We start from the raw sequence: 16,455 nt of genomic DNA on the forward strand, positions 1-16,455 counted from the left end.
AGGCCCTAATCATATTAGATATGGGGGCTGCATTTGTTGAATCAGATTTGCAGTTCCTCACCTTTAGTTTTCATTTGTAAAGTGTTGAGGGTTTTCTATTTCTCTTTCTTGGTTTCAAAATACCTTTTAAAAGGTAATGTATTCATTTTGGAACTGGAATAGGTAATACATTCACATAGTTCATAATTCAAAAGGTATACAATTATATAGAGTGAAACCTCCCTCCTACCCACAGGCACCAGCCACCCTGTTTCCCCTCTGAGGGCATCAGTGTCACTGACTGACTACTTTTTCTTGCAGAAATATCCAAGTGAATTTGTATAAGACACCACCCATGATCTTCTGTTTACACAAATAGTAACTCACTATTCTCTTCTGTACCTTGCTTTTTTTACTTAATGTATTTTGGAGATGATGCCACATCATTTCACTATAAAAAGAACTCTTCAATCTTTTCCCTCAATCTTTTTTTTTATGACTAGTAATTCATTACATTAGACAAATGGGATCATTTGTCTAACTACTCTTCCATTGATGATCATTTACATTACTTCCAATTTTTTGGTACTACAAACAATGCTGCAATGATTAACCTTATTCATAAATGATTTCCATGCATAAGAGTGTGTCTGTAATTTAATATAATTGCTATTAAGCATTATGAATATTTAAGTATTATAAGTAATCTCTAGAAATAAAATTGTTGAATCAATGAGTATGTATATTTGTAATTTCAATAAATATTGCCAAATTGCCCACCTATATCACCTGATATAATGTCCTTTGCTCATTTTTCTATTGGTTTCTTCATCTTTTCCTTACTAACTAGGATTCATTGTGTACCAGTGAGTTGCAAATATGTTTCTCAACTTGTCCATTGACTTTTGACTTGCTATTGTCATTTTTGCATGCAGATATTTTTTAAAGCACAGCTGAATTTTTCAGTCTTTATTTTATGACTCCTGTAATTTGTGTCATGTTTTAAAAGGTTTTTTAAGCTATAAATTACAACAAAAAATCTTTTATGATTTCTTTCATATTTTATGGTTTCACATGTTTGTAAAATCTCTGACCCACCCATCTGAGATTTATTTGGCAAGGTGTGAGGTATAGCTCTAACTTTTAACATTTATTTACTGTTATAGCTGACTACCCTGTTGTCCAGACGCCATTAATAAAAACTCCAGTTTTCCCCCACTGATTTGAAATGAGGTGTTTTTTTTTTTATCATATGCTAAATCCCTGTATGTATTTGGGTCTACTTCTTGATTTCCTATTCCATTTCATTGCTCTATTCATGTGCCAGCGGAACCCAGATTTAATTTTTTAAAACTTAACTACAATTAATTGCACTTTAATTTTTAAAACTTTATGTATCTCCCCAAAGTGACTTTTTCTTGGGGTCAGAGATTGAATGGAAATGAAGTTTTCTGTCTGTGTCTCGTGACTTTGTTTACTTCCCCTTGCATAGCTCACCGCCAAATTTTTCTTAATCTTCCAGGAAAATAAGTGTAGCCTGTACTATCGGAGTGGTAGGGTCAAATAAACAAAATAAGTGTGGGCTTATAAGGAGATGACCATAAGAATACTGTATTTCCCTTTTCCAGATCCCATTGCATGACAGACTCACAAGGGACATGCTTATTCATTTCTAAGACCACAACTTTAAAATCAAGTTATGTTTAATAAACATTAATAAATGTTTACTTAAAAGGTTTAATAAACATTTACTACATGGCAAATTATTTTAGCTAGAATGCTTTTGGCTTCAAGTCATAGAAACCAGATTCAAATACCCTTAAACAATTTTTAAAAATTCATTGATGGGGATAACTGTAATCCCCAAGGGGAAGAGGGTTGGGTAGACAGGTTCAGTGGCCAGCCCAGTTATTACAGATTCAGACTCTTACCATCTTTCTGCTCTGCCACCCTCAGTCATTGGCTCCATTCTCAGGCTGCGCATGGCAAGATGGCTTTGGACATAACAACACCCTGAGGAAGAAGAGAAAGTGTCAGGTCTGTTTTGTATTACTATAAAGGAATGCCTGAGGCTGGGTAATTTATAAATAAAAAAGGTTTTTTTGGCTCCTGATTATGAGGGCCTAAGGCTGCTTCCACTCATGGCAAAAGCCAAAGGGGACCTGGCTTGTGCAGAGATCACACAGCAAGAGAGGAAGCAAGTGAGGGGGCAGGAGGTGCCAGGCTCTGTTTTTTTTTTTTTTTTTTTTTTTTTTGAGACAGAGTTTTGCTCTGTCGCCCAGGCTAGAGTGCAGTGGCGCGATCTCGGCTCACTGCAAGCTCCGCCTCCTGGGTTCACACCATTCTCCTGCCTCAGCCTCCCGAGTAGCTGGGGCTACAGGTGCCTGCCACCGCGCCCGGCTAATTTCTTGTATTCTTAGTAGAGATGGGGTTTCACTGTGTTAGCCAGGATGGTCTCGATCTCCTGACCTCGTGATCCACCCGCCTCAGCCTCCCAAAGTGCTGGGATTACAGGCGTGAGCCACCGCGCCTGGCCAGTGCCAGGCTCTTTTTAACCATGAGCAACCCTGGGATCTAATCGAGTGAGAACTCACCCCACCCCCGACCTACCGCTACCCCAGGAGGGCATTAATCTATTTATGAGGTATCTGCTCCCATGACCCACACACCTCCCATTAGGCCCCTCACCTTCCGACACTGTCACTCTGGGGATTACATTTCAGCATGAGATTTGGTGGGGACAAGTATCCAAACTATAGTAAAAAGCATTTTTTCATTTCTTAGGAGCAAGAAAACATTTCTCAGAAGTCTCCCATGTCTTGTGGGCCAGAATTGGGTGACATGCCCATTCTTGAATCAATCACTGGCAAGGAAATATGATTGCTCTTAGATCAATCAGATCCACCCTTGGGCTGGGGAAGGGTAAGTTTCCCCTAAGCACATGGCTGCTTGGAAGCGAGTGGATATTGCTGAAAACCTGGATTCCAGTAGTAATGGAGGGGGCTGATGGATGCTGATAATGAGTCTGCCCAGTTTCCCTCTCTCATTCCTCCTCCTGGCTGGTTTCTTTTGTTAGACATCCAAGTGTGCCCCTTAATATGTATTGAGTATCTGAATGTATTCACTGCAAATTCACTTATTTAATAAATGTTTATTGAACTCCTACCATCTGCCCAATACTGTGCAAGGAGCTGAGGACTAGAAGAAGGAAAAATGGGGATCCTGATTTCAATGAGGTAATAGGAGAAGCAGAAAATTAAGGAATTCCATAGTACAGTGATGAGTGTTACATACTTATAAGAGTGCTATGGGGATCTAAAGAACGAGCAACTTCCTGAAGGAGGGTAGAACAAATGGGGAATATTCTAGGTGAGCTTTGACAGATGAGTAGGTAAACAAGGGGGAAGGACATCCCAGGCAGGGGAAATAGCTTGTACAAGGGACCAAGAGGGCATTGGCATGGCATGCTCAGGTTACTGTAAGTTTCTCGTATGTCAAGCTATAGGATTAACATGGGGTAAGGTGCTGTTTTACTCAGGGCATGATGGTACCAGGGTCAGGGGCTTCCAGCCTGGCTAAGAACCTCAGTTTGTACTGGTTAAGAGACATCATCAGTGGATGCCATCCCTGAGAGGTTCTGACAGCAGTTAGAGTTAATTGTAGCATTTAGTCACAAACACCAGATTTGTCACAAACACCAGTCAATTTTCTGTGGTCACAGACCACATTTCAGAGACCCTGAAATCTTCCTTTCATCTCACAATTGAGCTTCTTGCGAAAGTAATCTACACTTAAAATCTTCTTCGTCTCCATTTAATCCTCTACCACTTATGTTGATAACATAGTGGTTGTTCCTGCTACGGTCACCTGTGGCCTCAATAATTGCAAGACACAAAACAAAACAAACCACCACCAACAGGGAAAATGACTCTTCTACTCTTCTACATTCTACCTTCTGATGACACTCAACTATTTAAAATTCACTAAGGATATTAACAGCTTTGGAGACCCCAGATACAGAGAACAGTATGGTGTTACTCTTCCACTTCAGTAAAATTAAAACAATCCTAAATCATAAGTTTTCCTATAAGAACTTCAATTTTATTTTAATATCAAATTCTTTTAAAAAAAATACCTCTCTCTCCCCACTTCCTCCATGAGTGCCTCTGCTTTGTTGCTTGTTTAAGTCATGTATGATCCACCAACTGAGTAACCCAGCAATGAACACATTGGTGCCTTGTTTATTGTGGGTTGAATGGTATCTCCCTAAAAGATATGTCTTCCCAGAACCTCAGAATGTGACCTTATTTGGAACAAGGGTCTTTATAGATGTAATTAAGGTAAGGATTTCTAGATGAGCTCATCCTGGATTAGGATGGGCCCTAACTGCAATGATAAGCGTTCCTCATAAGAAACAGAAAAGGGCTGGGCACAGCGGCTCACGCCTGTAATCCTGGCACTTTGTGGGGCCGAGGCGGGTGGATCACGAGGTCAGGAGATGGAGACCATCCTGGCTAACACAGTGAAACCCTGTCTCTACTAAAAATACAAAAAATTAGCCGGGCGCGGTGGCGGGCGCCTGTAGCCTGTAGTCCCAGCTACTCGGGAGGCTGAGGCAGGAGAATGGCGCGAACCTGGGAGGCGGAGCTTGCACCCGGGAGGCGGAGCTTGCAGTGAGCTGAGATCAGGCCACTGCACTCCAGCCTGGGCGACAGAGTGAGACTCCATCTCAAAAAAAAAAAAAAGAAAAAAAGAAACAGAAAAGGAAAATACAGAGACATGTGAAGAAAGGCTATGTGAAGAGGGAACGAGAGATTGAAGAATGTGTCTATAAGGCAAGGAACATTAGGATTGCTGAGAGCCACCAGAAAGCTAGGAGACAGGCATAGAACAGTTTCTCTTCACAACCTCAGAGAGAATCAACCCTCCTGACACCTTAAGTTTGGATTCTTGTCTCCAGAACTGTGAGAGAACATATTTCTATCGTCTTAAGCCACCACATTTATGGTAACTTATTACAGCAGTCCTGGGAAACTAATACAGTCAACCCTCAGTATCTGTGGGAGCTTACTTCCAGGACCCCCACAAATACCAAAATCTATGGATGCTCAAGTCCCTGATATAAAATGCCATAGTATTTGCATATAATCTATGCACATCCTCCTGTACACTTTAAATCATCTCCAGATTGCATACAATACCTGGTACAATGTAAATGCAATGTAAATAGTTGTTATTCTGTATTGTTTAGGGAATAATGACAAGAAAAAAGTCTGCACATGTTCACTACAGACACAACCATTACAGGCCTAACTACAGTTTCAATCCTAGGCTGGCTAAATCTGTGGATGCAGAACCTGTAGATAGAAAGGCTGACTGCACATTGTTCTCTAACATTTTGAATTAAAAACAGAACTTTTGCTTGTAAGAAAAACAAATTCAGTCTACTTGTCGCAGGAAGAGAGGGATTTATTTTAAAGAATGGTAATCTCACAGGACACAAAGATAAGGAGCAAGGGGAGTTGTTGCCATCAAGGGGAGCTGACTCTCCAAGTCTGCCCCCTTCCCCTCTCTCATCCTCTCTTCTGGTTGCTTCTTTTGCTTTTACACACTCTCTGGGAATACGTGGCTCATCAAGTGGCTTCAGTCCCAAGTCTCCATAAACTTGAAGCTCACTCACCACCTGTAACTAACTTCATCTGTCAGCATGTCAATTACAAATTTTAAGGCAAGAAACTGGATTGGCTTGAATTACCAAGGGCTGAACCTCTGATCAGCCACTGCAGGCCCATCCCTGGCCAGTTATAGCATAGGAGAGGTGGAGTCCTTCAGTTCAGAGAAATGCCCCTTCCATGGGCCACAGGAGGATCCCCCAGCCAAGGCCACAGGAGGGCAGGCAAAGCTTGGTCTCTCGGATGTCATCTGGTCATTTGTCTGCCTCCCTCTCTAGATTGTAAACCACCTGAGGGCAAGAAATTCATGTTGTGTTGTCCATCATAGTCTCCAACGAGTACAGGTCTTGGTGCCTGAGACATAGGAGATACTCAAGATAAGTTTGTTTAATAACAAGTAGTTGAGTCTTATAGAATTTTATCTACTAAACAGACCAAAAAAAAAAAAAACGGTAAATGTTTATAGTGCTTGCTCTATTCTTTCTTGACAAAATGGTAATTTTAAAGCTGGCTTCTTCCCATTAGTTCGCTCTTATAAACAGCAAAGAGGTTATCTCTATGTATTTGATAAAATGGCACTCACAGATCCACACAACTCCCCTTGGTCCATGCTGAGTGTGTCTAAGGTAAGCTCCTCCCTGACCCACACTCTCTCTGTTGATGTCTAAACTCCATAATCTTATGGCTTCCACTAAGATTCTCCTTGACAGAGAGCTCAGGCAAAGATGTCATTGGGCCATCTTTTGCCTCTAGGTATGGGTTTTCTTTCCTTCCCTTTAAAAAAAAAAATGGATTTTTTCCCCAGAGAAGATCTTATGACAAAAGCAATCTGATGGGAAAATCCAGTGGAAGCTTCTTCGGGAGCCTGCTTAGCTTTTCCAGAACATTTTCCTTTGCTTTAGCTATAGCTGGTTTATTGAAGCTCTTTCCTAGTAGTCTCTCACTTGTGTCTAACCTTGCCCAGTACACAGGACTGTGCCAAGACCTGTTGGAGATCAGAAATTTAAAAGGACTAGGTGGATACATAATCTATGCCATCAAACAGCTCACAGAGTGTGGGGAATCCTGCTGGGCCACTACTCAGAGTGGGCCCAGCGATCATCAGCACCTCACCAGTGTGAGATTTGCAAACTAAAAGGGTTATAGCTCAAGAAACTACACTTCTCAGTCTGATGGGGAAAAGATGCTCATTATAGTATCAGAAGGACAGACTTAGCCATGGGCAGGGGAGGAGAGAAACAAGAAGATTCCTAAACCCATTCTCTTTCTTCCAAGTCAGACATGCCCCTTGGTTCATCTGAAGGCTGTAATCCCCCCAAAGATGTCATTAAAGCAGCCCCAAGGGAGAAAAATTAGGAAGGGAGCAAGTATAGAGGCTACATTATACTCTGCAAAGCATGGACATAATAATTTCTCCAATGGTGAATTAGAATGATAATGTCTGTCTCCAAACTACAGCTATTTCCAAATTTAAATATTAATCACCTCTTCTCTCCCTTGTAGGCACAGCAAGGGAGGCTGGGTGCTGCCAAAGGGTTGTGAAATGGTAGACCCTCAGGCAAAGGTGAAACATTATTGCAACCCACACTCACACCTGCATAGTCTCACACACACAGAGCACATACACACTTATTGCTTGCACTTGTCCAGAGAGACAAATGGCCCAATTGCCAGCAACCGGTGCCTCAGTCCAGCTCCCTGCTGGCTGCATTTCCAGACAGCCAAAGCCCCTGCCCAGTATTAGCCATGTGCTCACTTCCTCCGGCATTCCCATCCCCAGCTCACGAAGGTGGCTAAGACAGTCTGGGGTCGCCTGCGTAGGGATGAGGGATGAAGGCCACGGTTCCCATTAGGTACTCAATAGCTGTCAATTAGTAGACAAATACGTGAATGAATGGGACCATTGGGCGGTTTGACTATCATTAGGGCAGAGTCCACACACTCTGTCTTAGGGCCTTCGTTGCCCACAGAAAAGGCCTCAGACAGGCAACCCAGATGAAACACAGAATCTCTCCTCACTGGGAAATTACCCTCCCACACCCACCTACCCCTTTCCCTGTCATCCCTCAACCTGGTGAAAGCTCCAGCCAGCCCAGACAGTGTCACACCCACTCCAGCTCCCTTCCTAGTCATTTATTCACTCATTCAACAAACATTTACAGGCAGCTACTGTGTGTCAGCCACTGTGCCAGCCCTGGAAATACAGGAATGCCACACAGCCTGCTTGTCGGGCCCTGCTGGGGAGAGGGTAGAAGCTGTCCCCATCCTTTCATGCCAGGTGTGCTCCACACAAGACCATCTCTTCAGAGAACCATGGTACCTGTATTTCGTCCTTCTGAACCCTCACCCTGGTGCAGAAGCAGTGGCTCAGAAAATCTGTCCTTTCACTTGCATTGTAGGATTTTTCTTTTTCAAAGCAGCAGCAGTCGCAAGCAGCCTTACCTTCCAAGAAGACTTTGACTCAGGCTACTATTCACATGTATTTGCATTTCCTTTGTACACATGGTTGGGAAGCTGATGGGGAAGAGTTTTGCCAGGGGATGAAAATGCTTTCTGGGCCAGTCCTCAAAGTACTATCGCAATTGCCAATGTGAAATCAAGAAGCAACTTGTTTAGCTCATATCTAGGTAAAATCTGGGGTTACTCCCACCCTGGTTCTTGTTGTCGACAGCCTCACAGCTCCTTGTCTGGCCTGTGTATCTGTTCAAGTCACGTGGGGGTAAGCTGTATTTTGTCCTGGTCTTCCATGCACTGGAAATTTTCTTTCTCCTCTAATTCTTCAGGTTTTGGTCATTTTTAGAGAGCTCTACGGGCACCCTCTGGTGGCTGGCTGAAAATTTGACCTGCAAAAATTGCAGTTTCGTAGGAATAGCTTTATTTTGTAGTCAGCCTCTTTGGTTGGATGTTGGAAATTGTAAGTTTATTTGCTGTAGTTGGTACCACACCTTTCATCACATGATAGATTGAGACTGAACAGTCACTTTGACCTTTCAGGAGGAATGGTACCTTCTAGAAAGGACAGAACTGAGAAACAGAGTGTCTCAGTGGGTTGCAGTTTTTCCAGGTCAGGCTGAGTGAACAGGCTCAGGGCTGCCCTTCTCTGGGCTCTCAAAGGACTCATTTCTGAAGGAAAACCCACTGCATGCCTGGACCAGGCCAGGCTCCCTGGATAGTTGCTGAGGTAGAACTATGCCAATAGCCCCCCATTTTTTTTTTGGTTAAAAAAAATGACCTAAGTTAGGCCAAATAAAAATCTAAGGGAGGGCAGTGAGGTAAAGAGGAATGGAAGCATCTGGGGAGAAGGGTAAATTTTGCAGGCCTAACACATGACCTTCCTTCTAGATTCCTGCTCTAACACTGGCCCAAGGGGCAACCATTCCTGAGAATCTTCCTGGTCTCTAAAGAAGCACTGGGACAGGTTAGGGGATAGCAAGGGAGAGAGGAAGGAAGAGAGGCCCCAGGAAGGAGAACTATCCACCTGAGGATGAAGCCACCCCTTGCTCTTTCCATGGCCCCCAGGCCCTAAAACCACAGGTTCTGATGAGCATGATTGCTCTGTCAACACAGTGAACACTACCACCTGCTTTTCCCTAACTCCCTCTTTAAGGATTTAGTCTCAGGAGACTCCCCGAAGTCTGTTGATGTTGCCTTCATTTTGCAAAAAGAGGACTAAGGGGGTTAAGCACTAGAGACTTCACCCAGCCTGCCAGTGCCAGGGCCAGGATCGGAGTTCTCTGTCCTGCCCACAGTTCTCTGAAAGATCTCCCTGCAGCTGCTGCGGCTCAGCCACACCCCACTCCTGCACTTTGTCTATCAGAGCAAGCCAAGCTCCAACAGGCAAATCACGATGAGGCCTTTGTAGGACAAGGTCTTAAGGAAGGGTACCCTTGAGGCACGGGGGAGTAGCAATGTCCCAAGTGGGTTCCAGAAGCTGAAAAGACAACCAGGTTGGCTCAGATTTCAGACTCTGTGGTTTATGCCTTAGGTGTATCATTTAGTTGGAAAAAAAGAGGCACTGTCTACCAGGAGCAGCCTTCTTTATTGATACCATTTTTCTTGTGCTTGCTTTCACAGCCAGGCCCCAGGGCAGAAGGGAAGCCCCATTTCCCGTGGGCCATCAGTCACCCAACAATGGCAGTGTGCTGCCAGGCTGGGTCTGAGAGCGCCACTGGGGAGACAATGTCTTTGGTAGGCAGCCTAGAAGCTAAGGTGTGATTGGGGCAGAGCGCAAAACGGACACCAATGTGATCACACCTGTGGGAATGGACCAAACTTCACTACCCACAGTGTCATCAACCAAGAGACAGGGCAGTTCTGAGATGTGTTGAATATGAACTGGGCAGAGCTCTGTCACAAGCATATGAGTTTCCCCCTCTTGTCTCCGCTTCCAGCAGAAGGAAAATGTTATTGCCTGATTATTATATGCCACACAATCACACCAAGATGTACAAGGCCTTGTGCTAATCACAGCTAACAGAGTGCTTGCTAAATATCGGTGCCATTCTAAACCCTTTACATAGATTGACTCACTAATCTTTGTGATGACCAAAATGAAGGAAGTATGCTATTATTCCCATGAAAGAGGACAATGAGACAGAGAAACTAAATAACTTGCCCTACATCATGCACACAGTAAGTGGTGGAGCCAGGATTCAAACCCTGGCCATCTGGCTCCAGAGCCTGTGCTCTTAGACACTTCATCCTGCTGTTTCTCTAGGTATGTAGTATAAGCTCATGTATCCTTAAAAGCTGCACCTAATATGCACTATTATTATCACCATTTTACTGATAAGAAAACTAAGTCATAGAGGAATTAAACAAAATTATACAGCTGGCAAGAGGCAGAGCCAGAATTTGAATCCACGCAGCTGGACCCCTGAATCCCAGCTGTAATCATGGTACTCTCTATCACCTCCCTTTAACAGGGCAGTTTTCGAAAGCTCTCTCACTAGATTTGACAAAATTCCTACTGGACATTGGGGACACTACTCTGGCTTTGTGACTGGCCCCAGAGCCCAGCGAGCAGCCTGCCTGCTCTCCTAGAAGCAGATTGAAGGGGCTTCTCCCTCTCTGCCACTGTTCCCCTGTTCCATGGATCCCTTCAGGTGCTAGTGGATTCATTGCCACCAGCCTCTGACAAGCAAGGCAACAGCAGTCTTGATTCTGCCCAGGTCACCTAGGTTTGTCTATCTGGAGCTTCTAGCCCCAGGAAAGAGTCCCTTTTCCTTAGCTAGATTACTCCAATTTCCTTAGAAGTATAAGTATTTGTTTTATGGGCCATAAAGGCAGAGGGTGATCTTCCACTGTGTATCAGGCCCCCAGACCCCCCAACAGACTGACTGCTCAGGAAATTGGGGAGTTCATGGCCCACGGCTGGCATTCACAGGGCATTATCCCATCTGAGAGCTTACTTCTTTAAGTAATGGCTTTGGTAAATTTTTCTCCTTTCTGCCTTATTGATCACGTACCCGGAGTCCTTGTAAAATAGGCTCTGGCCTTTGTCTTAGAAATTTTTTGTTCTTGCTCTATTGGGCAGTTGGGCAGTTGAACTTTATCAACTGGGTTCAACTCCATGAGACCAGCTTCAAAGTGCCTGGTGCTTATTCCATGTCTTCCATTCATCCCTCCAGATCGCCCCTTCACATTTCTCCAACCTGGCATGTCCCAGGGGGCTGGCCTATAAGGACAACATCAACAGCTTCCTTGTCCGCTGGCTTTGGTTGGGTTCATCCAATGGAGGTCACTAGTAGTAAATAAGTAGGCAGGAGGAGAGAGGGGCCAGGCTGTTTGTCCTCCTGGCTTCCTTCTCGCCACAGTATAGGTTATCTGTGTCCCTTTACTGAGGCCACAACTCCTGTATTCCAGCATCCATTGGTAGGCAACAAACTACCTCCAGTACTTAACAGTTTAAAACAACAATGATCACTTATTTTACGGATGAACCTACTCTTTGGGCAGGGTTTGGTGGAGTGACTCATCTCTGCTCCATGTGGCAGCTTGATTGGAGCTGGAGAATCCACATCTGAGATGGCTTATGCACATGGCTAGCCAGTTGATGATGACTGCAACCAGCATCAACTGGGAGCTCTGTCAAGGCTGTCAGCAGAGGCCTTCAGTTCTCCTCCAGGTAGGCTTCTCCTTGAGGCTCAAAAGGTTTCCTCTCAGCAAGGTGGTTGTATCCAAGAGCAAGTGGTCTTCTAAGAAGAAAGAAAATGGAAGCTTCCAAGAAAGGAAATGGAAGCTGCCAATCTCTGAAGGCCTGGGCCTACAAACTAGAACATCATGTCTGTCACATTCTGTTGATCAAAGTAGTCACGAGGCCCCTCTGATTCAAGGCAGGAGAACACAGACCTCAATCTCAAAGGAATATCAAAGAACTTCAAACTATCTTTAATCCACTGTGCCTTGTAAGTAGCCTCGCCTGCAGCTAACCTCTGCAGATTCTAGTAATTGCTGTCCCTCCTTGCTCCATCCAGCCTGGGGCATGGCAGAACCATGCTAGTGCTAGTCCAAAGTACTATACTGTCCTTGGTGTGATTTCTCTAAGCCCGATCACACGGTTATAGCAGTCTCTTTATTAAACTCCCCTCAAAATATCCAACTTAAGCATACTCGGATATTTGCCAGGGCCCTGGCAACATTTCTATACCAAGTTCCTGCTTACCACCACAGGAATACTCCACGAGACCACCCTTCTCAAAATCTCTCCTTCCAACTCCCATCTGCTGTCAAACTCCCACACCCCAATACCCATTCAACTTCACCTGTCACTTTCCTTCTGGCCTTTGGAATGCCTCTACTCAGCACAACTGGTTAATTTATCAAAATAATTCATGCTACCATGCTCATGGTAATGACTTCACACATGGAAGTAAGAATAGCCGAGCCAGATACATCTCCCACAACATGTCATTGAGGCATCCTGGTAAATGGGGTGGGAACTGGGTAAAAGCAGCACTTTACCCAGGAAAATGTTTTATTATAGAGTTTTTCAAGAATCAAAACCTTAACCCAAAGAGAAATTCCTAAACACAATAATTTCCAACCCTCCAAGCAGGCTAATAAGAGAGTAGTTGGGGTCAAGCTGGGCTTTCTGATCCCCTCAAATCATACAGATCTTTTTGCTCTCAGCCTCTCCGAGATTTTTGCCTTGACCTGAGATCCCCATGCAGAGATTGAAGTTCTATTTTTCTTACTTTGGCTAGTCCCTGATGACCCTCATGCTTTCAATGGGGGAACTGTGACTGATAAATCCCGAGCCAGAGCCAAAGGGCATATTGACTGCCCCAACGCCTCCTTTCATCCAAAGACTAATGCATTCCCAGCAAGTGAAGAGGAACAAAGCTTGCATTTCTGACACTGCCAAAGATAGCATTCTCTGGATTCTTATCTGGAATGCTGATAATTGTGGTATCTGTCACATACTTAATCAGCAGAGTCAGGAAAGGCAGCACTCAACTACTTCCGAAGCACTTTTTCAATTTCTCACACTTCCAGAACTTCTTTTCATTCATTAATTAATCAATTAAAAAATACTTATTTGAATACCCACTATAGGTGGCAGGCAGTGTATGAGGTACTGGGAATCAATGATGAGTAAAAGCAGACATGGATTGGAAGATATAGACAGTAATCAAGAATCACACAAATAAAAGTGAAATTAAAACTTACAATATGAGCTACCTGGTAGTATGAATGGTGTATATCAAAGAGAATTGTCGTAATAAAGAAGGTCAGGGATAGGTGGCTGGCTGTCACCCTTAAGTCCCACTGATGTTCCTGCCCTCTACCAAGCTCATCCCTACCCTGGGATAACCATGAAGCATTGAAATACAAGTGTGAGTCCCTGTGTTTGTAGACCTAAGCAGCTCATTGCTAAGGAATCCTACCTGGAGCAGCCCTATCAGCTCCCTAGTCCAACCCACCCACCATACAGGACATCAGGAGCTATGGGACACCATCCCCATTAATGGGAGAGGTCTGGAGTGAGTCTGGAGGCCTCTTGTAAAGCAGCATGAACCTTGTTTCCAAGTGGCATGGTCAGGTCTGCTGCAACACACACCTGCCCAAGGACTCTCCACCAGCTCATGTGCTGCTTCCCAGGGGGACACAGGAGCCATCCATGCTGGGGCAGTTCCCACCCCATTTACCAGGATGCCTCAACGACATGTTGCGGGAGATGTATCTGGCTTGGCTGTTCTTACTTCCAGGTTTTTAGAGAGCTGGTCTTTACACCTTCCCTTAGTCCTTGTGTTACAGGATTCTATCAGGCCTTCTCTACCCATGTCCCTGGCACTATCCTGATATTTATTCTTAGTTGTTTCTCCTAAATGCTGGTTTTGCCACTTATCAGCTATGTGCACTTGGGCAATATATTAAAACAACCTCTGTTTCTTCATCTACAAAAAAATGGGATAATAATTTCCACCTTCTAAGAATAAATAACAGCCACCTTAGTACAGTGCCAGGAGCCCAGAAACTGCTCCACGAAGGTCAGTTTTCTTTTTATTACTACAAATCTATGGCGCAAAACCTCCAAGTCCATACTCAGTCATCCACCCCAAGATGAAAGCAAAAGTGCAGATAATGTAACAACATGCTCCGTTTGCTGAAATAGAACATTCCAGACTGCAGCCTGAACCATCTGGAGGCAGAGAAGCCAGACCCACAGAGAGCACCAAGGATAGGGGCTGAGCTACACTTTCACATGCAGTAAACGTTTGAGGAGTGGGAGAGGGGCTTTTCCAGGTCTAAGGGAGTCTTTCAGTCCAGAGTGTGGATATTAGAAAGGTTCCACATAAAGAGATGGCCTACTGCCCTAAAATACTGCACTGACCTGGCTCGCCCCCAGCCTTATTCTGTGAGGCCAGAGGAGGAAGCAGTAACTGACAGGAACTCTATACTCTTCTGGAAAGAACAAGCTCTTCTATGAAAGCTTCAGATGTCACCAGCAATTCCAACAAATGAATCCTGATGACCCTTCTAAGCTGAGTTGTGAATTTAACAGACTCCCTCTGCCTGGATTGGAATGAGGCAGTGAGACAAACCTACATGGAGGTTCAGCACAGCCGTACAAGCCTCTAGAGTGTCTGCATAAATGCATGCAATTCTGCACGCCCAGAGGACAAGGCTGCTTCTCCTTGGGTGACCTTGCTGGCAGCAGTGGCTTTGTTAGTGTGTGGACTTTCATCATATTCAAAAGATTCTACATTTAAGAGGAGGTAAGCTGGAGAAAAAAGAATTAGGAAAGGTCTATTGGGGTAGCATATGCCTTCAACCGAATTGTCACCCCAGGGCCTTTTTCTCATATACAAGCTTTTCCAAAAGCAAGGGTTTATCACAATAATAGCAATAATGATCACTCTTTACTGAAAGCTGACCATGCACCTGGACGCTACTGAGCACTTTACATGAGTTGTTTAGTTCAATCCTCACAACCGCTCCATGAGTTAAGTACTATTACCTCCATTTTACAAATGAGGAAACTGAGGCACAGAGACAACAAGTCACCAGCCCTAGGTCACGATAGTTAATAAGTGGTAAAGCTGCAGTTCTCAGTTTGTGAAGAGTAGGGAAGAAAAGCACAGCATCTTAGAATTAGAGTCCCTTCAGGATAAGGGCTTTTAAGTTACAGACTCTGAGGAACAGAAAGGATCTTGAAGGTAACCCAGTCATTCACTTCGGGCTTCTCTCTCTCCTCTTCACCAGGAGCTGGAAGAAGGCATCCCTGGGCCCTCAGTGAAACATCACCTCTTCCCCACGAGTATTTGGCACACACTGTAAACTATGCCAGAGAGAATTAGGGAACTTCTCTTATCCCACTTCTTATTTAAGATCAGAGCCAGGACTGCCTTCATGAGCATGGGAACTGTGAGCCACACAGAGACCCTTGTTCTGTTGTTGTCTTGAAATTCTTAATTTCTTTAAAATAAGGAGCCCTGCATTTTCATTTTGCAGTGAGCCCCACAAATTAGACAGGTGGTCCTGGATTCGATCTTTAGGGCTAGGGCAGGGGGAGGCAGCCAAAAAACTCAACAGCCAGTGTCTTTGCCTTGTAGACTCTTCTAAGTAGTGCATTGCCCACTTAGAACACCACACATGATGGAGTCCCTAAGAGCACTGACAAGCCCCTTTTTCAACAAAGGCAGATGAAACAGTTATTTGAAATTTGTCAGTATAGAAGTTCACTGGTAAATGTGTCTTTTCAAAAAATTAACCGTATAGCACCTGGTACCAACTACTAAAACTGGCCACTACACATCCCAGGTTTTACTCCTGTTCATAAAAATCACAAAGAGACTGCTACCCTTTTCTTATCATTGCTGAGCTCAGGAATGTTAAGTGCACGATCATTCCAATTATCACATTTTACTCCAATTTCCACAGCAATACAGGGGATCATAAGGAAGAAAAGGAGCACTGTTTGCTGTCCAATTACGTGGAGCATGTAGGAACAGGATTGCACGTCCTGATAGCAAAAACACTTGTGTTTATCATACCCTATGCTTCAGGGCATGCTTTAGTTTACGGTGTTTAAGGATCCAAATGCCTGAATAAAGAGCCACCAGCCTTGATATAAGCATTTGCTTTTGCCTAAAGACAGGAGGGAAAATTCTCAAGTAGAGAATCTGTGTTGGTGGAGAAGTAGGCTGCTCCAAATCTTAATTTCATGGCACTTATATAGGTGATAGCAGCCCTAGTAGATGTAAAAGACTAAACTACATAAAAATTAAGCAGCGTTACCAAAGTTTAAGAAAGGAGCAAATTTTTGGCATGTGGGTCTATTACACACCCACATTTTACC

General features: G+C 44.1%; 2 long non-coding RNA genes across 3 annotated transcripts in view; both read right to left on the reverse strand.

Annotated features, from left to right (window-relative positions):
• Positions 1–16,455, reverse strand: part of LOC102724945 (uncharacterized) — a 244,858-nt gene that overhangs the window by 131,540 nt on the left and 96,863 nt on the right. The window contains exon 5 of the long non-coding RNA XR_001750942.2: positions 1,911–1,992. This is a non-coding gene — a long non-coding RNA (uncharacterized LOC102724945). The remainder of the gene's footprint in view (positions 1–1,910; positions 1,993–16,455) is intronic.
• On the reverse strand, positions 5,431–8,622 carry LOC105370444 (uncharacterized). 2 transcript variants are annotated; one of them, XR_001750945.1, is made up of 2 exons: positions 8,094–8,622; positions 5,431–6,005 (listed from the first exon to the last, which is right to left on the reverse strand). It is a non-coding gene; the product is annotated as an uncharacterized LOC105370444 (long non-coding RNA). The 2 variants fall into 2 exon arrangements; XR_943735.2 differs by having other exon boundaries at positions 7,972–8,622.

The sequence above is a fragment of the Homo sapiens genome, chromosome 14 (genome assembly GCF_000001405.40).
Source record: "Homo sapiens chromosome 14, GRCh38.p14 Primary Assembly".
Lineage (NCBI taxonomy): Eukaryota > Metazoa > Chordata > Mammalia > Primates > Hominidae > Homo > Homo sapiens.